This window comes from Homo sapiens, chromosome 10 (assembly GCF_000001405.40).
Source record: "Homo sapiens chromosome 10, GRCh38.p14 Primary Assembly".
Taxonomy (NCBI): Eukaryota; Metazoa; Chordata; class Mammalia; order Primates; family Hominidae; genus Homo; species Homo sapiens.
The window spans coordinates 11186257-11212984 of record NC_000010.11 but is presented as its reverse complement, the minus strand read 5'-3'; the positions used below and the strand labels follow the sequence as shown (position 1 = coordinate 11212984).

General features: G+C 43.2%; 1 protein-coding gene and 1 long non-coding RNA gene across 70 annotated transcripts in view, besides 5 other annotated features; both read right to left on the bottom strand.

The window, feature by feature from the left end:
* The window catches only part of CELF2 (CUGBP Elav-like family member 2), an 874126-nt gene that overhangs the window by 123691 nt on the left and 723707 nt on the right, over positions 1-26728 (bottom strand).
* LOC124902375 (uncharacterized) lies at positions 2016-26669 on the bottom strand. Its single transcript, XR_007062051.1, has 2 exons — positions 4361-26669; positions 2016-2314 (listed from the first exon to the last, which is right to left on the bottom strand). It is a non-coding gene; the product is annotated as an uncharacterized LOC124902375 (long non-coding RNA).
* Positions 2976-3215: an enhancer, noted in NCBI's record as "active region_2999". NCBI's record gives its function as "activates an Ori minimal core promoter by ATAC-STARR-seq in GM12878 lymphoblastoid cells {active_cell/tissue: GM12878}" and the evidence as "EXISTENCE:reporter gene assay evidence [ECO:0000049][PMID:35858748]".
* Positions 3266-3425: an enhancer, noted in NCBI's record as "active region_2998". NCBI's record gives its function as "activates an Ori minimal core promoter by ATAC-STARR-seq in GM12878 lymphoblastoid cells {active_cell/tissue: GM12878}" and the evidence as "EXISTENCE:reporter gene assay evidence [ECO:0000049][PMID:35858748]".
* Positions 4783-4852: an enhancer, noted in NCBI's record as "active region_2997". NCBI's record gives its function as "activates an Ori minimal core promoter by ATAC-STARR-seq in GM12878 lymphoblastoid cells {active_cell/tissue: GM12878}" and the evidence as "EXISTENCE:reporter gene assay evidence [ECO:0000049][PMID:35858748]".
* Positions 4913-4992: an enhancer, noted in NCBI's record as "active region_2996". NCBI's record gives its function as "activates an Ori minimal core promoter by ATAC-STARR-seq in GM12878 lymphoblastoid cells {active_cell/tissue: GM12878}" and the evidence as "EXISTENCE:reporter gene assay evidence [ECO:0000049][PMID:35858748]".
* Positions 15523-15822: an enhancer, noted in NCBI's record as "active region_2995". NCBI's record gives its function as "activates an Ori minimal core promoter by ATAC-STARR-seq in GM12878 lymphoblastoid cells {active_cell/tissue: GM12878}" and the evidence as "EXISTENCE:reporter gene assay evidence [ECO:0000049][PMID:35858748]".

Below are 26728 nucleotides of genomic sequence, written 5' to 3'. Positions count from 1 at the left end.
GCTGCTTCACCTATTTCCACTTTGCTCATTTGACACTATCTAATAAGCACCTGCATGGGACGATTCATGCCACTGCTTATCTACTCATTCAGGAGCTTCTGCCAGTGGCAGTGGCCTAGTTAGAAAAGACAAACATGGTGTTCCATGCCCGGGTGACTTCAGGATATCCCTTGTTTCAGCGACCTCAACAATTCATTGTAATAATAAAAGCTTTGGTCCTTGAAGCAAAAAAAAAAAAAAAAAAAAACCCAAAACACAAAAAAACACCATCCTTCTTCATGTGCCAGTTTAACAAGCACCTCCCACGACTCCTCACCAGGACTTTTAAAATTCATAGGTCCATCAGGTCCAATGGAAAACTCGGGAGAGGTGAGCCCAGAACCAAATATCACAGTCTTAGGTCCATACAGAGCCTAGCAGTCCCACTAGTGATGACTTCTTCTGTTGACTACAAAAAGACTGTGCTGATTCTCTGTAACTTAGAGGGGAAATACACCAGATCTTACTGGCCACTAACACATCACTGTGATTCTGCTGTTCACTGTCAACATCTAGCAGGGCCCTTAGGAAAGGAACACAAGACAGAAAAAGCACAGAAGAAAGGTCCAGGGGCACAGAGCATTGTCTGTGAAGGCAGGCCCGGGGGGGCCTCACAGGGAGCATCTCGGGGCAGCCATGAAGCAGCAAGAAGATCCTGGACACTGAGAGAAGGAGACAGGTATGGAAAGCCCTGGTTCCCCATTTCCCAGCTGTCACCCTGCCTACCTCCCCAGGGGCCTGCTGCAGGGATGTGGATGCTTTTGACGCCCAGATTCCCTGAAATTGGTAAGTTTAGCAATACAGTTGCATATGTTCAGCTTGGAAAGCAATCTGTAATCAGTATTATAATTGTGAGCTATGATTATGCCATCATGGATCAGAAGTGGAGAGTGGCAATTCCCAGAGAGGCTGAGTGTGACATACTCCACACAGGGTAGCTGGTGTCTCGCTATATTTTTTCACTAATAGTTTCTGCTGTCATGAAGAGTTCCCTCAGGTATTTTGCCTGCTTAACTGTTAGATAATTTGAGACACTGGTATGAGATTTTTGCTGTTTCCAAAGATAAAGCCCCAAAGGCCAATGGTAGTTACACACACACACACACACACACACACACACACACACACACACTCTCTCTCTCTCTCTCTCTCTCACACACATACACACACACTCTCACTCACTCACACACAGTAGTGTGTTTAAAATCATAAAGAAACACTCAACTGTACTGAAAGACTTTAATTTTAAATGATCAAGTAGATTTATCCTCAAAGAAACCATCTGGATTATCACAAACCTTTTCAAACCACAGCTGTTTCCCTTGAAAATCTTTACTTGGAAACTCTGGGTAATAATACTCACAGGAAAAAAAAATGTACTGATATATAAAGATAACCAGTTTATATCACGGTTTGCTGTGAATCAAAGAGCAATAACGTATTTATATTTTTCAGTGTGGAGGTAATGTAGACACCACTCTAGACAATGATATGAGGTCAGATTTTAAACTCATTCTGCCCTTAAGAAAACTGACACCATACTCATTAAAGAAACTTCCTCCAAGGTTTCTAAACCAAGGTTTGATGCTCTGAGACACTGTTTTAAAAAGGCGGTTTTCTTTAAATTCCTTGACTCTAATATATGGACAAAGCAATTTTTGTTTTAAGAGACAGGATCTCACTCTGTTCCCCAGGTTAGAGTGCAGTGGTGCAATCATAGTTCACTTTAACTTCGAACTCCTGAGCTAAAGTCATCTTCTCCACTGTAGGCTGCTGAGTATCCAGGACTGCAGGCATGTGCCACTACACCAGGCTAATTTTTAAATTATTTAGTAGAGACTGGGTCTTGCTACATAGCTCAGGCTTCTCAAACTCCTCGTCTCAAGTGGTCCTCCTGCCTTGGCCTCCCAAAGTGCTACGATTACAGGCATGAGCCACTGAGCATGGCTGACGCAGTTTTAAAAATTACTTTCATGTTTTCTTTTTAAAAATTGGGATTTTAATTTTTGTTTTTTATTGACACATAATCTTTGTACATATTTATGGGGTACATGTGGTATTGTGATACATACATGCAAAGCGCAATGATCAAATTCAAGGCAGGAGGACAGTGAGTTGAGTTGTTTTTAATTATTGAAACACTGGCTCGTCAGCTGCAGGGCAGGAACTTCAGATCACATGCCAACGAGTCACAACGCCAAAGGCAGGAGCTGACCCCGCGTAGCAAGGCTGGTTTCAGGGAGGCATTCCTCATGACTCTTCTGCAGCCACCCGCCTGAAGCAAGGAGAAACTCCCCTGTGTAAGGTGTTCTCTACCATGGCAGGAGGGACCTTTCTGGAAAGTTCTAGTTCTAACTGCTAATTCTTTTTCTGATACCACCCTTCAGTAATATCTTCTTATGGGGAACTGTGGAGCATTTTCTGGAATACAAAATAACTATACAACTTGAGGGCTAATGAGACAAACTGAAAAATGGTTTCCTGCAATTCTGCGGCAAAGCTGGTCAAATAAAAAGTATTTCCGTTTCGGAGCTTATGGGGTTGGGCATGAGAACAGCTGTTTCCCTCCCTAAGTGGACTCTGCCCCAGGGTCAAGACGGGCCTGTCCACGTCTTCAAGGCCATTCGACATCTTACATATATGAAAACCTACTTTGTTTTCTAAATCTAAGCACATAAACACTTGAAAGCAGCCCCAGACTGATCATCTGATGACTGAGCTCTCTATATATTTTTTCTTTTTTTTATTAAACAACAAAGCAATAGCCCTAGCAGACAACTTCAACTCGAGTTATATTCGAATTCAGGACATCAAAAAAGTCATCATGTTGTAAATAGGAAATTCCTTTACACGCTGCCTTTGAATTCTAAGGGGCTGACAGATCAAGGGACGAAGGCCCTGGAAGGCTAAATTAGTGAACCCGCTATTTTTTTTTCCTGTGAATGAAGCTCTCTTTTGTATGTGCATTTGCAAGCAAAGCAGGTGCCTGCTTCACACAAGTCGAACTGCAACTGGGATCTTGGCTTCTTGTCAAGTCAGTAGCATGCAAGCCAGTTTAAGTCAAAAGAGGACACACTCCTCTTACTTGATTCCCCTTGCCATCTATTTTCTCCCTCAATCTTAGCCACTTGGAGAAGAATTTAATACCTTTTTTTTTTCCAGAGTCCAAAGGCTGTGGATCTAAGTGGGGCATTTTGTGCTCAAGCGAATCTGCCATGCACTACGGTTTCAACTCTCAGTCACTGGCTTTGGCCCTGCCAGGACCCCCTACTTTCACTTTCTACAAGGCAGTTAAAGGTTAAAAAAAAACCCATCAAAAATCCCCTGAATTAAAATTTTCAAGAAAACTTAGCATTAACCTTAAAAAAAAAAAAAAAAGAGTAGTCCTTTTTCCGTGGTAGAAGGTGATTTATACCCCTAGCATCTTGAGGCAAAAGGCAATGACAAAATGACATTCTTAGAAAGTACAAGGAGGCCTCAGGACATGATATGAGATCCTGGAGGGTCACCCATGTAGCCCTTTTTTTAGCCCAAAATCCAACCACCAAGAAGAACTGGCACTGCTAGGAAATGGTCACATCAGGGCACTATGACCGACTCTGGGCCCGTTGGTGTGAATTCCTGTGGCTGGACCTCCACGCAGTGCTTGCTTTCTAGGAGTGCTAGATACAAGTGAACAAATGAGGCCACCGATTTCACAAGCTCCGTCTAAAGCCCAGTCCCCTTGCCTCTCAGCTCTCTCACGTATTCCTGCCTGTAATTTTATTATCGTGGCTCCCCTGTGTTTGATGCTGAACGCAGATGGCTATAATGACATCAACTGAGAGATACAGGAACCAGGGGCATGAAAAAAGTACCCATCACAGCAAAAGTTAGCTAAAGGGAGAACCTCCAAGAAGATCAGACATATCTGTGTTGTACTGCTCCTCCAGCCTTTTACGCCTTTAAACTGAACACTATAAAAAATAAAATGAGAAGAAGTTAAGGTAGCGTTGCCTTCTCATGACTTCCATGCCTTTGCCTTTCCTGTGGAATCACAAAATTTTACAAGTAGCAAACGTTGGGAGTCGGGAAGCAGTACTCCAGCATAAAAGCCTCACAAGAAAAAGTTTCTCTCTGACCCCCTCCTGCCCTCCTGTCTCTCAGTCCCAGCCTCCCCTAAGCCCAGCCACAGAAACTGGAATCCCTCTCTTCCTCATAGCAGGTCACAGAAACCAGAACCCCGTTTCCCCAAAGCCAGCCATAAAACTTAAAAATACTGCTCTAACTTTCCTTCCGTCATTCTGTACAAAACTGGCCAGAAACAAATTCTCTGACCTACCTTGTTTGACTGTAGGTCATAAGACCCCCATTCCAGGGAAGGTCCTTCCCACACCCAGAAGGAAGAATCCTGCTCAGAGAGGCCAGGGAGAATGCGGACAGGCAGGCCTTGCCGAGTGTCCCTGCTCAGTCTGTTAGCGTTACGTCATGTCCTTTTTGTCCAATCACATTACTACATGGCTGACCATACTTTGTGGAACCTAAGTATGCAAATGAGCCTAGGCACACTTTGTTGGACCTAAGTATACCATTTCCCCTGTATCTTTGGGTCTGCATCCCGAAGGCGCCTGTGTCACAGAAACCGTGATCTCATCAACCTGCGTGCCTTTTCTCCTGTGGATGTGCCTCTTGTCAGGGACTCTTAGTGAACCTTCATAGGGCCAAGGGGAGGTTTTCTCTTGGTCCCTACACTAGTTCTACCAGCCTAACTCCCCACACCCTCCCATTTTACAGATGGGAAAACACCAGTCTACAGGTTAGCAGGCTGCCCCCAAGTCACACCAGGAGCCAAGAGCAAAGCCAAAACCATCCCAGCAACCACGAGTCGATGAGCACCCCTCAAAGTCTATGCCTCTCATAGGGAGAATGTCCCTGAACCACCTCTAACAGGGTCCACCTCACTCTGAAAGATCTGCTTCACACTCTGTTCATGTCACCTAAAATGTCTCTTTATAACCTAAACCTCTCATCTGAAATGTCTCTCCAACAGTCACCTAACACAACCCTTTTTTCCCCACCTAAAAATGGGACTTCCATAGCTAGAGTAGCAGCTACCCAAATACGAACGCCTCATCCTGTAGAAATCTACTTTTAAGGAAACCGTATCCAATTAGCTTAGTTTTATAGAGTTTGATATAATTGGCACCCTGATGTCAGCGGTATCACCATCTGGCCACTGCCTAGGAAGCTGACGGGCGATGCTGCCATCGGGCCTTCCGTATGTGAGTTATGTGGACTCCACGGTTTGGATTACCAAGTGCCATCCCAGGAATTCCCCTGGGAAACTTACACTGGCAGCGTGGGACCCGCACCGCCCTCTGGCCGCCTGAGGCAGTCGTGCGATGCTCCACCAACATCCTTCCTCACTTTCCCTGCAAGATTCCTCGCAGACAGCAAATCTGAGCCACCTTTTCAGCCCGGGAGGGAACAATGATCTCACTGGGGTCCCTGGCAACCCCATACCTTCCCTCCAACTCTCCATTTGACACGCTAGGACCAACTTTCTGTCAACTGGCCACAAGATCCAGGCCCCTGGCAGCCTCCTGTTGCCCTGGGGACTTTCCCTGGAGGAACCATCTTCTGTTATTTCCATGACCCCGTGAAGACTAGCAAGCTCCCTGTTTTCTGCGAGGAAAATGGAGTTTCTTTCTTTCCTTTTGACCTAGATTAAATCGACTGCATTTTCAAGCCTCTTGGGAAAGCAAGTGCAGCCTAATATGCACAGCTATGTGTATACTGTAACACTTCCTCACCCATGATTATGTAAATTCCACCAAAGCACGACACAGATAGAAAAGGTAACAAGGGCAAAATTGCTGGAATGTGCTTTTCCCCTTCTCTGGTTCTTTGAAATAAGACACTTATGTTAAACCATTTCAATTGTCTAATAGCTATGAAAGCATTGGAAGAATTTCAGCATCATCCTTTTTTCCCCCGATGGGACAATCATCGTGTTCAGCTGTTTCACGAACTCTCCCACCCTGCTCTGAGCATCAGAAAGGTAGGGTGACGTGTGCATTTGTCCAGGCCCCCAGGGGGTGACGTGAAGAAAGCAAGGAGTCTTCTTTGTTAGAGAAAACGTCACTTGACTATAGGAATGAAAGATAATAAGCTAGCCATAGAATTTATCACGCTTTGTATTTTTCAAAACCTAATTCCAAAGTAGTGAGCAGAACCATATTTTTCTCTGAAGGTAAGGAAGAATGAAAAACTTCAGGTTGAATGTAACAAGCCAACTAGAGGGTCTGGCTTCCCTAAAGTGGACGTTAATTGGCTCAACTCCCTGGCCAGCTGGTCTCCCTGGGGTCTCATGGTGAGGTGGAGACCAGTGGCTCAGCAGCAGGCAGGCCTTCAGGCTAACCAAACCAAGATCACTTCCCATACACCAAGGAGGCATCACGGGGTTAAACGCGGTAGGTGTAAGGTAGTTCTGTCTTGAATCCAATTAAGAAGGATTTAGTTTCTAAAGTACTGAGGGACCTCATTAGAAGAAAGTTTCTAATATAAGGTTATTTCATAGTATAGATTCTGTAGAGGATAGGATAGCATTATAATTAGGAGGCTAGTGGCAATGAGAGGTAGGTTAGAATCACATCTATTTTCCTACGATTCTCAATTCACAGCAAGCTGGGCTATTAGATGCTTCCAGGCCAGGCCGATCTCTCAAGTCTCCACTTCACTGCCTTGCTTTGACGATGCATCAGCTTGAATTCCCTGGACTAAGAATGCAGGCCCCTTATTGTTAGCCTGAATAAAACACAGCTCAGCTCTGTTCCTGAGCACCTATCAGTGGTATTCTAACTTATTACTCAAGGGTTCTAGGTGCCTCTGAACTCTCAAAAGGGTTATTTGCAATCCAAAGCAGAACAAAGGTTATTTTTTCTGGAAATGGAATAAGGACGTCATAATCTACTTCCTCACTCTGGTCTTTACAGTCAAAGTGAAATGGAGAGGCAAACCCTTTGGCTATAGAAATCCAAGGCTAGGCTGAAGTAAACATTTGTACTTATTGTAGATTGTTTTTTCTTGTTGGATATGATGCTGGAGAACTAATATTTATGGCCGTTATAACTGTCTTCACCCCACTCCGGCAATAGCTGAGTCGCATTTCATGTGTACGGAGATCAGAGACAGAGATATTTCTCCATACTGCCTGGAACAGCGGAAATCATTTAAGAAATTCACTTTTGGGGCCAAGGTGGTCCCTGAGTTCTCATGGCAGATACCATGACAGTTTTCAAAGTGATGCTGGATAGTCTTCTCATGCCCATTCATAATCCTTGCAGTGAGGCTGGTACAGTCATTCCTGATTAGCATCACAAGCTGATGACCTCACCTCCCTAAGCCTCTGGTTCTTAATAACATGGGGTTAGTGACAGCTATATTATAGATGTATCACATTAAGCCAAACAACGTATGAAAATGTTTAACACAGTTCCTGGCATGTAAATAAGAGTGCTTAGTAAATGTTAGCAGCTATTGTCCACTTTAAATTTAACATGTTTCTCCATAGAGCGCTGAGCCCTAACAGACACTATGCAGGCTCCCTTTGAGGCAGGTAAGGGATAGGTAGCTTTACTCCACTTTTATAACAAATGCAATACGGAAATGCAGCCGCGACAGGCCTGCCGCAGGCTGCGCTGCCGCTGTGCTTCCCTGGTAGGGAAGCCGCTTTTCTAAGTGATGACCACGAGCCCTTTAATAGGGCTTAGAATTGATTGTGTTGTCTTGCTTTCTGAAGTAATTACTTGGAACTAGCAGAGTTCACCCATTCGCATGGCCTTTGAATACTCTGAACATCCATTTACGTGACCTCTAAATAGTCAATCAATTTTAATGTAATCATTTTCATGACTTTCTTATTCAGGGTACAACAAAATTTTCCCCAACTGTATGCTCTATGATATGCCCCCAAGAGGCAAAAAATCCCTAAAACAGTTTGTTATTTGAAATAAAACCTACGGCTAAGGAGCACACCCAGGTTTCACTACTATACGAGTTTAACCAGATTGGTCACTTTCCTTTATCTCAGCAACAATAGAGGAAGAAAAAACAAAAGCAGTTAACACTGGGCTTCACAAGAAGACGTGATGTCCTAAACGCTGCGATGAGGACGGGGAGGAGGAGATGTCCGGCGGAAGCCTGGGGCACAGACCACCATGTGTGTCAGGCACCTCTTGGCCAAGGGGTTTCCAGCAGCTGGATTTCATTTTGAGAGTTCCTGTCACACGGGGATCAAGCGCAGGAGATCACTGCCGTCTGACTGTGGTTCCGCTGCCGTGCTCCTGTTCTCCTAAGGAATGCAGCTCTCTGCGGGTGGCTGCTACCTCTTACGCTTCCTGGGTCCCCCCACCGGCCCCCGACAAGGCATGGCGTGGTGCCAGGCACCGGAGGTTCCTACTGTATACTCAGGGGGTTGACTCTCACCGGAGCATTTTCACACCCCCTTCCCCTATAGCAATATGGTTTTCTTTTCAACTTGGAGTTCCATGAGCCTTTCTGATTCAGGTTCCTAGGGGTAAAAATGGTCCATGCAACACTCTCAACCCATTTCCTGTGAAATGACTCTGGTATAGTTACTTCTAGCCTAAGAGAGATGCGGTTTAATGGCTAGGTGAAATAGATTCTGTTTGATCCATTTAGTAAAATAATGTATACACAGTGCCAAGCCCAGAATCTGGCACAAAGAAAATACCGAAAAGAGGTTAGCTTCTTTTCTTCCTTCCACTGTACAATTTTAGGGGCAGTATGAAGGGTTTCTTGATATCCAGGGTGATCAAATAATTCATTCTCCAAGTGAGGACCCTTTTGAAAGCGGAGGGGATAATGTTAACGATGATTCTGGGACAAAAGAAGAAAACGGGGCTGATGTGGGCAAACCCTCTGCGCCCCTCCTCTTCTGTCCTCTCCCCCAGTCTCTCCACTCAGCCTCTGAGCTTCATCCTTTCAGTTGGAGGCTCAGATTCATATTAAAATAAAAATGCCTCAGAAGACACAACACCGCAATCTGTTTCCCAACCATTTACGCTGTAGTATCAATGAATCTTATGGCCACTAGGTTTGATAAGAGTTTCCATGGTGAGAACGCGGGTCATGGGGCAAGAGGGGATGTCCTAAAAGAAGAAGGATGACCCCCAAAATGGGGATGGCTGGGAAGAAAGTGACAAACTTCAGTCACATTGTAATTCTGAAAAGGGTCCATTCTAGATTTGACAGCGATCAACTTTAAATGCCAGACGGAAGACAGAAAAAAGATCTTAACCATCTGGTTTAAGTTCTTGCTTCCAGTTAAAGAAGTGGAGGCATGGAGAGGGGGTGTCTTGACAGAGTCGCCCCTCTGGTTCCCGATAAAGCCTGGCCTGATTCCAGTTAGGTGGACTCATCTTGCCAAACACTGCCTTACTTCTTCACCGCTCCATGTCTCTAACCAAAGAGAATGCTTGGCTTTCCATTTTTAGAAAATTAAATAAGTGTACCTGATTATGGATACTAAAAAAATGTAACACATGGTCCTTGTACGTGATGTGCTTGAAATCCAGCTGCTCACTCATTAGCAGGTAGGAAGAGGATTTATCTTCTTTGATCAAGAATCTTTCTCTGGAACACCTCAGAGGGAAAAGTAAAATATTTCCTTGATTTCAGGATAACAAAAAACTCTCCACACCACACACTGATTAGCAGCCACTGGGTTTTGTCTGAGGAAGAGCACGCCGCCCATCAATTGTTCCCATGCTGCATGCACGCTAGAGTAGTATTTGATCTAAAAACTTTCATTTTTCTCAATCATTGCCAATGACACTGATTCTATTAAACCTTCAGAAAAAAGAAAAGAAACACCCTGCAGGCTCCTATTTCTTCCCTGGATGACTGGATGAGGATGGATTTCTGAGTCTTTTTAGCCCTTTGGACTGTAGGGCCAATGCCTGTTTGGATTACACACACACACACACACACAGAGAGAGAGAGAGAGAGAGAGAGAGAGAGAGAGAGAGAGAGAGAGAGAGATGAGGATGGGGGTGGGAAGGCAGGCATGTGGTAGACCACTCTGCAAGGAGCTAAAATGCTCTAGGCAACGAGATGGTTTATAGGATAAAGCCTCTGCTGTACTCTCCTGCTTCCTAATTGTGCAGATAACAAATGATAATAATATTCTCCCACCACTAAGGGTCTCACTGTTAGTTCTAAATTATATTCGATAACAAGAAGATCAATAGCTAAGGCAAGTCTAAACAGTGGCTACCCCAAACACCTTTCCAACATGTGCTGGAACGCTTTCGATGTTAGTGAGAGCAAGTCTTAGCTCCCTGAATATAACTGTCACAGGCTAATATTAAAGTCGGTTTGATTCCCTGAGCACATTCCAAACTGTGGAAAAGGACTTGACCCATTTGACTGACTACTGGGTAGCTCAGAGAGGGCAGTCTAGGATCCAAATTTGCTACGAAAAGCTCACCCCACAGATACTCCACATACTGTGTCCATCTCACTGCAGCTTCCGAAACCATCGGGGACAACTTTTCCATCCTTTCTTTTTGGGATGACAAAGAATTTTTTGTCACATAAATAATTCAACTGCTGTTCACCCAATATATTTATAAGCTTTTCATTTCCAAGGTGGTAGGTTTCCCAAAGATTCAACATTATGACAGGAGGTGAAAAAAATGCCCCGAAGATTTCATTACTAGTCAATCTTATACGCTGACCTATGTGTTAAACAGCTGTCATTAGATGATAAATTCCAAGTAGTTGATATAAACCATAGAATCACCATCTGTCAAAATGAGTCGTAAACTTGGTCAACTCAATGAAACAATCTGCTACTCCAAGAAAAATTCAGGTAGGAACAGATGTCTTAGTGTTACATGGTACAGTCATGATCTTGTCTATGCAGTGAGGCCAAATTTTAAGACTGAAGAGAGTTAAGCATGGGTGCCAGGAGTTACGTTTCACCACCGAGTCCACCACCATTCCTTACAACACAGGATTCTCAGCAGAAAACTGCAACGAAGGTACCAAATACCTTTCTACAATCTAATCACCTCTTACAATAGCATTTCCCAAATGTTCCTGAAGATGATAATTGCCTGGAACATTGGCAAAAACATGGATTCTTGGAGCCAAGCCATGCCCCTCAGCTCAGGCTTTCCAGGCGAAAGGCCTGGTCATCTATAGGGCAGTGTTCCCTGGGATTCTTATCCTCCAGGAAGCCTGGGAAACAACACAGCAAAGGACAGCTGTTGCAGGGACTACCAGTGTCTGCTGAAGTCCATCCTCTCCTTCCTCAGGGCCAACACTGGAACAGAGCTCATGGTGAAACCACATTTGCCCCTTGCCACGTGACTAAAGGCTTCCTAAAGAAATACAAGTGGAAGTGACCTGTGCTGCTTAAGAGCCAGAGCTTTTAACAGAGCAGATATGAGTCCTCCATACTTTCTTTCCTCTCCTTTTGAATGGACACAGGTGACAAAAAAAGTAACAAAACACACACACACACAAAAACCAAAGAGATGGTAGAGTGACAAGATGGAGAAGCCTGGATCCCTGCATCACCACATGGAGGAAAGCCACCCACCAATATCCATAAGGGTTCTGTGTTTAAAAGTCCTAATATATTTTTGGGTCTGCGAAAATACTGACAGTTAAACCTATCCTAATACCTACAGATTAAAAAACACACACAAGGAAAATACAGGTGAAACAGTAACAATTCTGCCCATGTCAGTGCTATCTCTGCCTCACACTTCAGGGGACTACCCAACACAGCTACAAGAAAAATGTACTAGCAGGATCAAAGTGAGTATGTTTTAGAATTTCGTTTCAGAAAATTAGAAGTTGGTGAACTGCTGTAGAGAAGTCAGGTAGACAAAGCCATTGAAGCACTGAAACCCACATTTACACTTTCTTGATGAGAACACCTTTTTGAGCAAACCACTTGGTAAAACTGACCCGTTTGAGAGAGGAATATACTTCCCGACAAGAATATCTGACATTTCATCCTCACTGATGAACAATTCTCAAATTTCATTTGCTCAGAGGGAAAACAACTTGTACGGTGCGACTCAGCCCACAATGACACAGAAGTTAATTTCCGTCTTCTTTTTCTCAATCTTTTCTCCCTTCCTTTTGCTAGCAGGTTTCAAAACGCTGACCCAGTAGCTGAGGCTTATCTCCATCCCCTTGGACTGCTTCTCCAACCTACCAGCAGCATCAAATGACAGGCAGGCCTATGCAGAGGGGCACAGAAGTCTGACCTGGAAATGTCTTGCAGAGATCTGTGCCCACTGGGCAAGGAAAAGAGGGAGACCCTGCACCATGTTCCTGGGTAAGTCATGAGCCAGCAAGTGGCATTTAAGTCCTCTTGGTACCCAGGTAGCACTGCCATCATTTAAAATGCTTTCCAGGTATTCATGAAAATAAGCACATGCCCACATTCTGCAGAGTATAAGAAATATCAAAGGGATGTGCTATGAAAAGACAGAGAACTGGTATTCAGTACATTTAACCAATTCACTTCTTCATCTCCCTTGGTTGGGAATTCATATCTTTGCTGTAGGAACATGCTCTTAGGCTTTTAGCATTTTGGTACGGGAACAAAGAAAAATTAATAGACAGAATGGAGGCAAAGGTGAGGCTGAATGTGAGATACCTACCTATAAATATGAATGCAACCCCTAACAAATTCGTAGGCAGACTGAAAATCATGTGGGCGAACTGGTTCTTGAAAACTATTTGTAAAACTCCTCTAGTGGGCCCAAAGAGTTAATACACTCCCCTAAACCTCTTCTCTTCTCATTAAGTTGAACTCTGGAAAGTTTGGGTGAATTTTCACATCATACATTCTCAACCACAACTAGAAATCCAGAAGGCGTGTCAACAAAATCTGTCCCTGGAAGATCTGCCCTGAAATCTACTCTCTGGAGCACCCTGCCACGACCCAGTTTTGTGACATCAATGCCGGGGCATATCTGGGTGTTAACTGCTCTGGAAAACTCCCGGGTGAGAAATTCAGGCCATCCAATTAGGACACTTCCAGGTTACCTCTAGCTTAAACACTCTGACTGGTTTTATCTTATTAGTCTTCATCACATCCCTGTTCTAGGCTAAGCTTTCCCTCAGCCCTGCTGCTGCTTTAGAGAAGCAATGGACAGATTTTGCATAGAATAAAAAAAATTCTTAATTTCCAGCCATCGAGGCTAACTTCTTGCCTCTCAGCAGCTTTTAAAATATTGATGGCTTTTTCCTCATAACAGACAAGCTGAGTGGAGTCTGGAGGGCCTGCTCTTAACTGTGACTAGAAATGAATTTCATGGAATTTACCACATTTTTCAAGAGAAGGCACACTTGGGGGAAGGGGTGGTGGCAGAGGGCAACATCTGACCATCTTCCTTTCCAGCCCAGACCCTTCTGATTCAGGCTCTACACAGACCATACCCAACCTGCGGGCCTTCTCTGCTCGCAGGTGTGACATCTACTTCCAGCACTTGTGGTCAGGTAGCAATAGCAAGGATGGCCCGGGCTCAAGGAACAACAGAGTGTCTGCCTAGAGGGCTCAAGATTTGTTTGAAAGTTATTAGCTCCATGTTCAAGAGGGGGGAAAAGCAGGCCTAAGAGATAACCAGCAACCGAATCGGGGAGTAGAAGATAACATCGCAGAAACAAGGTGATGCATCTCATACTGTCTTCTTAACTGAATGGCTTCTAACAAGTCTCCAATTAAAGATGTTGGTCCCAGAGATCATGGTCTTGGGTTCTAATAAAACTGTTCATTTCTTCCTTGACAATCTCTCGCCACTAGAGAACAGTCATACAATTGTATGCCATCCTCCTCTCAGGTCCTACCAACCCCTCCTCCTAAGGTATCCATGGTTACCTGGAAAGTCAACTACTCTTGGTCTATACAAGGCCAGGACTGCCCTGCAATAAAATCCATTGTTTTATGTTTTCCCTATTAACTGGAAAGCTCATGTTCTACTTACAGTTTGAAGACAGACTGTGATTTCATGGGCAATCCTTTATATACAAGATGTTGAGTCTTGGGTTTTCCTCAAAACATCACTAACAGTCTATAGATTGCCACGAACATCTTTGTAAACAAGAATAATTATCCCTAGAGACTACCTAGTCTATGCAAAAAAATCTACAACGCTTTTCCTTTGGATGAGCTTTGTACAGAATGCAAGTCTGAAGCAAACCACTTGACCATGCCCTTCTGGGTCTCCTTCAATAGCTGGCTGTCAAAGTAGGATGCTAAGAAAGGGACACTGGTCTAGATTGCTTTTTAAAACCCACATTCTGTAACTATGGCTATGTTCTGACTGCTTTCAGAACAAAAGAAAACTGTAAGCATCAATATCCTTATTTTCAAGAGGTCTACCTATGTTCAGATGAGTACATGAAAGTGTAGTCTAAACAAGTTTACCTACAAACAAAAAATTCAAAATATTAAACAGAAAAAGATGTTGGCAACAGATTAAGTGTTCTGCCTCCCAGGGCTTGCTCTAAAGCTTCCAGACTCCTAGGAGGTCTGACCATCACAACCCATGTTTTCCCTTCAGAAGATAACAAAATAGAACTACCCAATTTGGGAAAGGGCTTGCTGAATGCAGTTTTTATCAGTCACTGCATTCGGCTCCCATATTAAGGACAGCAGAATAATTATTTTTGAAATTGTACACTGCCACACGGAACAGAATAAGCTGGAACACCAGGAGATAATGGACTGATTACACAGCTATCCTTTTAAACATTTCATCAGTCTTAGAACAGCAGATAATACAACTATTTCATGTGTACCAGTGGGTTCCAGATTAATCCTGCAGCGTTAAAAGCCGTGGAACCACAAATCAGCTGATTCCAATTTAAAGCAATAAATCACTGGTTAATGTTGACACAGTTATATGGGGTCTGGTTACCAGGTGACAGTTGCTGTAAGTTTTAATCCAACTTCTCTATTGAAAAATACACTATCTTGCAACTGCCTTGAAGCTGCCACAAAAATACATTTTTAAAGGAGTAATAAACAAATATCAAGAAATAGCCTTCATAAAATTGTCAGTATCAAAACGCTACAGAAGAGTCCTCATAAAGAAATGCAGTCAGCAGTAAATATATACTAGCACACTAAGCATGAGGAGACAGAACAGATTTTGCATACATGCACCCAAAATGAGATCCCCATTTGGGAATAAAGATGGAAGAGTTTCTCCCTCCTCCCTCTGCCACCGACCGTGTAAGTCAAACAGAACTGAGATTCTGTTCAGCGGATCAGGCGGGGGAGCCCAAAGGACAGCCTGTGTTACTTCCGTGTTGGATTGTTTAACAGAAAAGTGGCTCACTGAGATAGCCCATAAATGCTGCTGCTGTTCTCACTGGAGGTATGAGGCAATCGGGACACTCAACTGTATTCTGGAGAGTACAGAAAATGATTTTTGTTCTCTTTTTCCCCTGTGACATTTAATAAGGGACCATTTGCTACCCTAGTATCTGTTTATTTTATGGGAACTGAAACTTGAGATGAAACTGGATGCTACTTAAGCCACAAAACCTTTTTTACCCATATGAATGGACAGGAGAAGGAGTGAGCATCACAATGGGAGGCTCCTGGATTCACCAGTTCCCTGGTATCACGGACAGAGTGCAGAGTCACAGAGGGCAGCTTCAGTCCCAAGTCTCCCAGCTGAAGCAAGTCACTGACCACGTTCAACCAGAGATTTCTTTTCCGTGTAAAATGAAGAAAATGAAGATGCTCATCCCTACCCTGCCTACAGACTCAACCAACGCAGACAATGAATGCGAGAACAATGGGAACCCTTCTTTCTTTCTTCTTTCTTTCTTTCCTTTCTTTCTTTTCTTTCTTTCTTTCTTTCTTTCTTTCTTTCTTTTCTTTCTTTCTTTCTTTCTTTCTCCTTCCTTCCTTTCTTTCTTTCTCTCTTTCTTTCTTTTTCTTTTGAGACAGAGTCTCGCTCTGTCGCCCAGGCTGGAGTGCAGTGGTGCGATCTCGGCTCACTGCAACCTCCGCCTCCCAGGTTCAAGTCATTCTCCTGCCTCAGCCCCATGAGCGGCTGGGATTACAAGCGCATGCGCCACCACGCCTGGCTAATTTTTGTATTTTTTTGTAGAGACGGGGTTTCACCATGTTGGTCTGGCTGGTCTTGAACTCCTGACCTCGTGATCTGCCTGCCTTGGCCTCCCAAAGTGCTGGGATTACAGGTGTGAGCCACTGCGCCCGGTTCTGTTTTGTTTTGTTTTGTTTTTTTTAAAGAGAGAGGGTCTTGCTCTGTTGCCAGGCTGGAGTGCAGTATAACCACAAACTCCTGGGCCCATGCTGTCCTCCCTCCTCAGCCTCCTGAGTAGCTGGGACCACCGGCATGAACAATCATGCCTGGCTAATTTTGTTATTTTTTTTGCAGAGCTGGGGGTCTCGCTGTATTGCCCAGGCTGGTCTTGCCAACTCCTGGGCTTAAGTGATCCTCCAGCCTTGGTCTCCCAAAGTGCTGGGATTACAGGTGTGAGTCACCACGTCTGGCCTCAAAACATCCTGTTAATAGATGAATTCTATGCCAATGTAAGTTATTACTGAACAGGTATCTATGTTCTTTAGCGTAAAAACCCAATCCACCACAGCAGGAGCTAAGCTGCCTGCAGCAAGTTACTCCCCATCTTCATTTTCTTCCTCGAGAAAGACGCTGACGCTGCTCACGTGCTTCCCAGGGTTACTGTGGGACGACTGGTCTAAATGACTCCAAATTACATATTCAGGGATTTATATGATAATACAGCTGCTAGCCAATAAAAATAGCCTAATTATGAATTCAAACTATATGCAAATGCAAAGGATAAAGTAATTCTCAAGGGACCAGTTTTTTTTTTTTTCTCCCCTGCCTGAGGTGCTCTTTTACCATGGACGTGGACAAAGGAGGTTTAAATGAATACTTTGTTTTGCCATGTTCAAAAAAAGAGTATTAATATTTTGTGACTGCATCTGTGAATGAAGACACTCAAAAAGCCATGTTTCCAACTTAGGTTAATAATAAGGCTATTTGTCCACCCACTCTTCGGCATTGCTGCAATATTCCTGGCCTCAAGTGGGAGGCCACGTGGAACAAGGCCTCAGAAAACAAAGGACATGCAGCCTCCCTGAGCCAGTTCCTATAAAACACCACCAGGCAGGCCACAGCCTTGACTCTCTTAGTGGCTGCAACTCTCCTTTTCCCTTCTCCAGCAAGCGTACGGTTTGTGACGTCAAGGTCTGCCAAAAGAGCTTGGGTCACGGTACCTAGGTTATGGCAAAATAATCTTCCTTCTAATTCCAATCAGACGCCAGTCAAAACTCTGAACACAACTGTTGCCTTGTCCTGTTTCCCTTAGTGACACTGCCTTAGTGACATTGCTTTCTACAAGAAGCACTGCCATCCGCCTGGATGGATGTGGAAGGTTTGTGTCTACGATTAGGAACTAGCAAGGGATGAAAGAAACGGTACCTAAGTCTGGCTTCAAGGACCTCATGACTTCATGTAGCAAAAGCAGAAGTCAGGGAATACCTCATTTTACTCACTGCCTTTCAGAACAACCCACTGCACACTAAACCTCCTCTTGGTGCCTGCTGTGTTTCTGTTCTCCTTGGTGCAGAAAAATGAGCCAAATAGCAGTTAACACTCTCAGACAGCACTTGGAGGATAGTCTCGCAAGAGGACAGTAAAAGTGCCAAGTGTGACATTACTCTGTTGTAACAGAAGGAGAAATATTATCACACCTAGAGGTGTGATAGGAGTTTAAGTTCATGGTCGAATGCTGACGATGAGTATCATAGATTTCTACAGCTTCCAAAAGGGCATTCAGAAGCTCCTTCTCAACCATAGAGGGAAAGACATTACTGTCTCTGCTACACTGAGATGGGATGAGTGCCACAGGATGCTTAAAAGCTGCCTGTTAAAAATTCAAATTCAGGGCAGAAGCCACTGAGATGAAGCTCCCCTCCACTCCTTCCTGAGATCCTGGCTTGTCCAACAAAGACGCATCGGGATTTTTGTAACCCAGATGGTACTATAAAATATGAGGGATTATTGCTTTCTGTGAAACAGCAAATAAAAATTGAGTTGAACTTCACAATGTTAAGTGCTACTGTGAGCATTCGCAAGCAATGTCACTTTCTTTCAGATTCAGAAACTGCTATCTAACTCAATTTCTATTAAAATTTACCATTATATTCACAGTAAAATAGCCGAATATATTAACATGTCACTGATCTTTGCTGATAATAACCAAAATGGGGAGGGCTAGCAAGAGTGCATTTCAAGGCTACGGGCCATCTTCCCTTTGTGCAGCTCGCTTTGCCTTTCCTCCTACCCTTCAGTGGTCAATGTGTGGACCCTGAATGTTCAGGACAGCTTTGCAGGGAAAGGACTTACTGGTTCTAGGGGACTGTATGAATGCAAAGGTGTACACATGTTCGTTACTGGGCAAAGACCAATGTTTTCATTTAAAAATTTTGAATTTTCTCATTTTTCATTTCAAAATGAAAACTCAATTTAAAAAGTAAAAATAGGCTGGGTGTGGTGGCTCACACCTGTAATCCCAGCACTTTGGGAAGCCGAGGCAGGTGGATCACGAGGTCAAGAGATCGAGATCATCCTGGCCAAGATGGTGAAACCCCGTCTCTACTAAAAATACAAAAATTAGCTGGGTGTGGTGGCGTGTGCCTGTAGTCCCAGCTACTCAGGAGGCTGAGGCAGGAGAATCGCTTGAACCTGGGAGGTGGAGGTTGCAGTGAGCTGAGATCATGCCACTACACTCCAGCCTGGCGACAGAGTGAGACTCTGTCACAAAAATATATATAAAATAAAAAATTTTTAAAAAGTAAAAATACTGTGAAAAATTCTAAAACATGAAACGCACCAAAATGAGAGTTTCAACACTGTAAGTCTTGTCCTTGAACTACCAAATTCCTAGCAATGTGACCACTATTTAAACTAAATCTCAGTTGTCTCATCAGAAAATGAAGATGACCGGACCTCCCCAGCCTCTTTCCCAGGTTATACTGAGAACCAATACTTCATAAATCTATAAACATGAAGCGTCATATGGGCACTTTTTTGAATTTCTTGGAAAAGCTATTCCATTTACAAAATACCATAAACCATGCATAAGATCAAACAGTCTTCAAAGATCACATTCTTTTGGTTAAACCTGCATTATTATGTTCTCACTACGAAACCTATATTGGCCCCTCAATGGGTACTATCCTTCTGCTGTACACCCGGCCCCTAGGTGGGTTTAAGTCTCTTCCTCCTTCCCACACACTGGAGTCCTCAGGTGGAATGAACAGGAATGCTGGCTCAAGACAGCCCCAGCCCCAGACGGAGTGGGGAGGGCATCAGCAGGAACACAGAACTTACCCATAATTCAGTTACGTCTCATTGTACAGAACCTTCTTTGGCTAACACAGTTTGTGGCGAAATTTTCTTCTGTACTCATTTAAATGTAATTTCTGCACTTGTCACGGTGAAACTTTGGAGTTATTCTCTACACATTCACAGAAATGTGTGATTTCTTACAGGCTCCCAGTTCTATGATTTTGAGACTGCTATTGATGGGTGAGCTGGTTAATTTCACTCTTTCTCCTCTTGCATTTGGCACCTAGGGGTTTTCCAACCAGGAAGCAATGACAGCCCTGGAGAAGCTTGGCCCAGATCCTCATGGTGCCTGAGAAAATCCAGCTCTCCAAAGGAAGGACTATGATGACATTCCACGAAGTCACTGGAAGCCCCACGCGAGGCTGAAGATCTGGGGGTGTTTGGGTTCAGGGCTGTGAACTACCATGACTAATTCTTGCTAAATGACCTGCAGTAGTTGTTGGAAACAATGTTAAGAAAAAAAGTCATGAAGATCTTTACATGAAAAATGTGAAAATTCACAGACACTGCCAAAGTCAGTGGAGAATGTAATGAGAGTAACACCAAACGAAATTTACCAGAGCACTCTCGCAACGTCCAGCTTGGTCCTTCTCAACCTTGGCTGCACGTTAGAATCACCTCAATACCTTCAGGTGCCACCTGGGACCCAGCAGGGGAATTAAATCCAAATTCCTGAGGGTGGGGTTGGGACACTGGTATTTCTCTGTTTCAATTCCTCTAGGTGATTCTAACGCACGCCAGGGGTTAAAACCATGGCATCCCATTTGAGTCCCATGTGAACTCGGTGAAAAGAACTCTGTGAGGGTGGGCAACTCACCCAGGTCACACAGGAGATGAATACTGTCCAGATCGGATCTCCACGTCCCTCACTGCTTTCCAAAATAGCAAGGCTGGCTTGTTATTGTCATGAGACTGCCATGGGGACAGCTGTTATGGGGAGGTGAAGGAGCAGGGTGCCTGACTTCCCAGGAAACCCAGCTCTTGCACAATCAAGTCCTTCCATGTTAGCAGCTGACGCTGTGGTCTCCCCTCTATCGGTCAGTCCAGGGTGGCAGGGCTGGGCAGCACTGTGGTGGCACACAGTGCCATGAGACTACTCAGCATGGGAAAAACAGCTTCCTGGGAGTCAAAACAGCTGGTGCCCTTGAATGTCACTAGAATAAAAGAGGCCATGCCCTTGGTTCCTCCAACTAACTACCCACAGCACTGCCTCCCTCCAGCCTTGCTGGGATCAAGGGGATGCTCACTCGGGAGGCCGAGTTTCCTCTGCGCCTCTTGAAGTATTTTGGGGCTGTGCTGGAAGAGCCCCATCTCAACCATGACTGAACGCAAGCACCCTCCTCAGTAGGTATGAATCTCACAAGATCCCAGCCTGTAGGGGTGCACAGCTGAGCAGGTGGGACAGCTGGCTCCTTAAACCTGATGAGTGTGCTCAGGAAGGGGCTGAACATGGAGAAGAGCAGGTGACACTTCCTCAATACTAATTGGCTATTCTGGGAAAACAGCAATAACCCATAAAATGACACTGACTTGTCAGGAAAATTCCCTGGGGTTGCCAGGTTCCTAAGAAGTAGAGTGGACACAGGGCGGGGCCTCTGCATGGGAGGGCAGGGAGGGTGGAAAACAGGCTTGGGATAAACAGCATGAGCATGCACACGGCCCCTCCCTCCTCCTTCACTGGGGATCCGTTTCTCCACACTCAGATTTTGGATCATCGTTTTGTTCAGAAATCTAAACACCAATGAGATAACCATTATGTAACTATTTTTCACTTATGAAGAAGTCCAGTCTGCCGACTGGGAATAAGCCTCATCTTCTGCAGGGAGGAGGCCAGGACGTGTAACATCCTGGGGAGGCCACAGTTAAATGAAACCCAAGGGCAGGCCATGGGGTGCCCCAGGCTCCAACCTCCCCTGCTACTCAGTGACTTCAGATTTCAAGGTGGTGTCCCTGTTGTATGCCCCCTTGATAGGTCACTTTCCCGAGACCACAAGGTTGGTAGCTGACGCCCCACAGCACGTCCTGGTCCAGAGGTCTCCTCCCCACTGCAACACCAGGAGACACCTCTCCGTTTCATTGCCTGGGGTACCTCCCACACAATAGAGGACGGGTACATGTGTGATGGAGCCCCTTATAAACACCAGGACAGAGGCATCAGCTTCAACTGGCTGAGATCAACAGAGCATGGCCCCTTCCCACACTCCCACTCCTGCCCATTTACTCTCCAAGCCCCATAGCTAGAGAGAACCATCTAAGTAGGAAGCCTCTCTGTAAAGCTGAAAAGGGACAGAACTAGATGAACATGAGTGTCCATTGTTACAGGCACTGAGCCAGGTGCCTTTCAATACATCAGGCCCCATTTACAGACAAGAAAACAGATTCAGAGAGGACCAGCAGCTTGCCCAACCTCAGGGAACTGGATTTAAACCCTAATTTACTTCTAAGTTTTCTGTACACATGACCAGGATGTCCATGAAGGTCAGCAGCATTAAATACATTGATGCTGCTGTGCAACTGTAACCACTGTCCATCTCCAGAACTCTCACATCTCCCCACACTAAACCTCCATCCCCCTTACACTCTTACTCCCTGTTCCCTCCTGCTCCAGCCCCTGGCCAACCACCAACCTATTTTCTGTCTTTCTGAATTTGACTGCTCCAGGTAACTCAGAAGTGGAATCATTTCAATGGCTTTTTTTTTTTTTTTTTTTTTTTTTTTTAAAGAAAAGAGATACAAAACCCAGCCACTGAGAGTCAAAATTTAGTTTTGAGCTTTCTCCTTTTTTGTATGCTTTCAGTATTTCAGGGAGATTTTCGAGGACAGAAGCTCTCCTTAGCACTTTGAGGGTACAGCCTACTTTGTGAATTTTTTTTTTTTTAAAAGAACAATTCCTTTGAGAATCTTTCCTACTGGGAGTTACTGCTGTGATTAAACAGCCATTTCTTGAACCACGTACCATGCTTGGTTGTGGGAATACAAAGACAGCCAAATGAAAATCTCTGCCTTTAGTGTTCATTTTTTTTCAAAGAGAAAAGGGCAGTTCTTGTTTGCAAACTGACACACAGAGAAGAAAGAGGAGATAAATCTAGCTAAGTAGGGAGTAGTGCTGAAACATCCTGCAAACAATTTAATTTTCCCATTACTTTTAGCCTAAGATATTCTTTATCATCGGGCCAAAATTTCATCAATACCTAATTTGATGTTCATTCCCAAGACTGCCAGTAAATGTGTACTGAATGGGCATGTATGGATTGCCTACTGTGTACGCACTGTAAATTTCTAAGAGCATGTAAATGAGACGTGAATCCTGTCCTCAAGGGATTTATAAGTGGTTGGAGGAGATAAGACATGTGCATAAATAAGTTAACACAAGGTAGAAAGTGAAGGCTTGAATCAAAGAGGTGCACATAAATCTTTACAGGAGTTTGCAGAAAGAAGATAATTTACAACTTGCAAATGTGTTAAAAATGTGCAGGAAATGGAGAACCTGAACAAAGAGAAGCTGTCAACAAAAAGAGATGGAAGTACAGAAATTCCAGTTAACAAATCTGTAGGAATGGAAATGAAGGTAATGAAGGGAATGAGAGGAGAAAGAACAGAATGGTTTATGGAAGACCTGGAAAGCATGGCCAAGGAATCTGGGCTGTATCTGAGTCAACGTGTGCCACTAAAGGTTTGCATACCATCGCTGGTGCTGGAATTCCTCTGGATAAATAGAAGGCACTGTGAGAAAAGAACCAGGGACAGGAAATATAATTAAGAGTTGCAGACTTCTGCCTCTGGCCTAGATGGACAGTCCTCTTGCCTGAAAACAGCTCATGGCCTGAAAGAGTTTCCAGGCCACAGCACAGGGAGCTGGACACCAGGCAGGACCCAGTATACTCCCTGAGCTGAGAGTGCGAGGGCCATTAGAATTCACCGTAAAGAGTAGCAAAGAGGAATGAGCTGCAGAGAGAGAGTAGTAAGAAGAGGCAAAAGGGAAGAACAGGTGAGGGGAAAAAAACCCTCAGTGAGATTAGAGACCTAAACCAAATTTTATCAACGATTACATTATATGTTAATTATCTAAACACTCCAATTAAAAGGTAGAGCTTGTCGGAGTGGATTCAAAAAAAATTAAGATCCAACTACCTGCTGTGTACAATAAATGCACTTTAAATAGAAAGATACATATATGTGAAGAGAGAGAATGTAAAAATATATATTATTTAACAGGAGTCAAAGAGATCTGCAGAGGTCCCTCTTGAGTATCCAGTGATGATCAATGCACATGAGTGAAGAAACTACCAGACAAAGAGCCCTCCAAAAAGATGAAAGGCTTGGAATAGTGCCTGTCCTTACCAGCCAGACCGAAAATACTCACAATTCACGGTCTTGGGTAGAGGACTAGGAGAGGCCTCACTTTAGAAGTAGAAAATAATCATACAGATGCTAGAATTAGCAGACAAGGACTCAAAAAAGTTATTTATCGCTGTATTTGGTATGTTCCACAAGACAAGCAGAGACCTGGAAGATCTAAGAAAGATCCGAAACGGACTTCTAGAGATTAAAAACTACAATGTCTGAGATGAAGAAAACACTGGATGGGATTAACGGCAGATTAAACACTGAAGAAAAGATGAGTGAACTGTGTTTCAAAATGGAATAGAGAAACAGAGACTTTAAAAAAGGAAGAAAAAAACACATTAGTGAGCTGTAAGGCAACTTCAAATGGCCAAATATACAAGTAATCTGAGTCTACAAGGAGAGTTGAGAGAAAGCAGACATTAAAAATATCTGACAAAAGAAAGGGATGAAAGTTTTCCAAATTTGATGAAAACTGTAAGCTCACATGTCCAAAAATCTCAATGAACTCCAAGTACAAGAAATACAAAGAAAACCAAACCAAGGCACATCATAATCAAATTACTCAAACCCAGTCACATAAAGAGAAAATGTTAAAAGCAGACTGAGGAAAAAAAAACAGAAGGAGAAGGATGACATCTGAAACAATACAAGTGAGAAGACAGTGAAGCAATGTCTTTAACATACTGAAAGAAAAGGAAAATCCTGTCCACCTAGAAATCTATAGCCAGTAAAAATATACTTCAGTCTGGGCGTGGTGACTCACGCCTGTAATCCCGCCACTTTGGGAGGCCGAGGTGGGCAGATCACCTGAGGTTGGGAGTTCGATACCACCCTGACTAACATGGAGAAACCCCATCTCTACTAAAAATACAAAATTAGCCAGGTGTGGTGGCACATGCCTGTAATCCCAGCTACTTGGGAGGCTGAGGCAGGAGAATCACTTGAACCCAGGAGGCGGAGGTTGCGGTGAGCTGAGATTGCACCACTGCACTCCAACCTGGGCAACAAGAGCGAAACTCAGTCTCAAAAAATATATATATCTAGATCTAGATACATACTTCAAAAAAGGGGCAAAACACAAAAGGTGAAAGACACACAAAAGGTGAAAGGATTTACCACCAGATGATTGGCTGCCCAAGAAATATTAAAAGAAGTCCTTCAGGCAGAAGGAAAATGATGCCAGAAGGAAATATGGATCTACACAAAGGAACGGAGCACGGAAGTATTAACTACGAGCATAAACAGGCGAGATAGTTTTCTTATGATGGAAATATCTATAAAAGAAATTTGGCCAATTAAACAAAATTGTAACAAGGTATTGTGGATGTATTTTAACATGTAAAAGCAAAATGTAAAAACAGCAACAGCATAAAGTCTGCGAAGGGAGAAATGGAAGTAGATTCTCATGCTATACATGAAGTTGCATACTATCACTTGAATGATAAAGACGTGTAACAAATACTCTAAAACAACAAAAAAGAGCTATAACTAGTAAGCCAACAAAGAAGGTAAAATGAAAAAGTAATTTGAAGTAATAAGAAGAGGCAAAAGGGAAGAACAGGTTGGGGGGGGGGCGACCTTAGTGAGATTAGAGACCTAAACCAAACTTTATCAACAATTACATTATATGTTAATTATCTAAACACTCCAATTAAAAGGTAGAACTTGTCTGAGTGGATTCAAAAAAATTATGATCCGACTACCTGCTGTGTACAATAAATGCACTTTAAATAGACAGATACATACACGTGAAGAGAGAGAATGTAAAAATATATATTATTTAACAGGAGTCAAAGAAAGCTGAAGTGGCTATACTAATATCATAATAATTTCAAATCAAAGGATAATCCCAGAAATAAAGGTCATTTCAAAACCACCAAGGAGTCAATTCACAAAGAGAACACAAAAATTCTAAATATCTATTCATCAAAAAAACAGAACTTCAAAATACATAAGGCAAAAATAGAACTCAAAGGAGAAATACACAAATACACGAGATTTCAATAGCCTTTCTCAATAACTGATAGAACAAGTATTAATATCCAGAAAATCAGTAAAGATACTGAAGATTTGCAGAACACAACTCAATCAAACTCACTTTTGTAGAACACTCAGTCCAAGAACAACAGGATACCTGTTCTTTTGAGATGCACATGGACTGTTTACCAAGATAAGTCATATTATGGGGCATCAAACAAGTCTCAATGAATTTAAGAGTTCTTAAGCCATACAAGGTATATTTCTTGACCAAAAGGACATTTAATTAGAGATCAGTAACAGAAAAAACTCCCATACCCCTCTCAAATACAGGTTGAGATCCTTTATCCAAAATGCCTGGGCCCGTAAATGTATTGGATTTTTGCTTTCAGATTTTTGAATATTTGCATTATACTTACTGGTTGAGCATCCCTTTCCTGATCCAAAATGCTCCAATGAACATTTCCTTTGAACATCATGTCAGTACTGAAAAAAATTTCAGGTTTTAGAGCATTTCAAAGTTTGGATTTTTGGATTAGGGATGCGCAATCTGTATTTAGAAACTAAATGACACATTCTGAATAACCCACAGGTCAAAGAAGAAATCAAAAGAGAAATTAGGAAGTATTTTCAACTGAATGAAAATGAAACTACAGCATATCAGAATTTGTGGATGTAGGTAAAATGGTACTTAGGAGGAATTATATACCATTATATACTTTCATTTGGAGAAAAAAAGATTTCAAATCAGTAACCTCAGCTTTCATCTTAAAAGTCAGAAAAATAAAAGCAAGTTAGACCCCAAATAAGCAAAAGAATGGAAGCAATAACAATTAAAGTGAAAGCCAAAGAAATAGAAAAAAAAAAAAAAAAAGCAACAAAACCAAAGGCTAGTTCTTTAGTAGACAAATAAA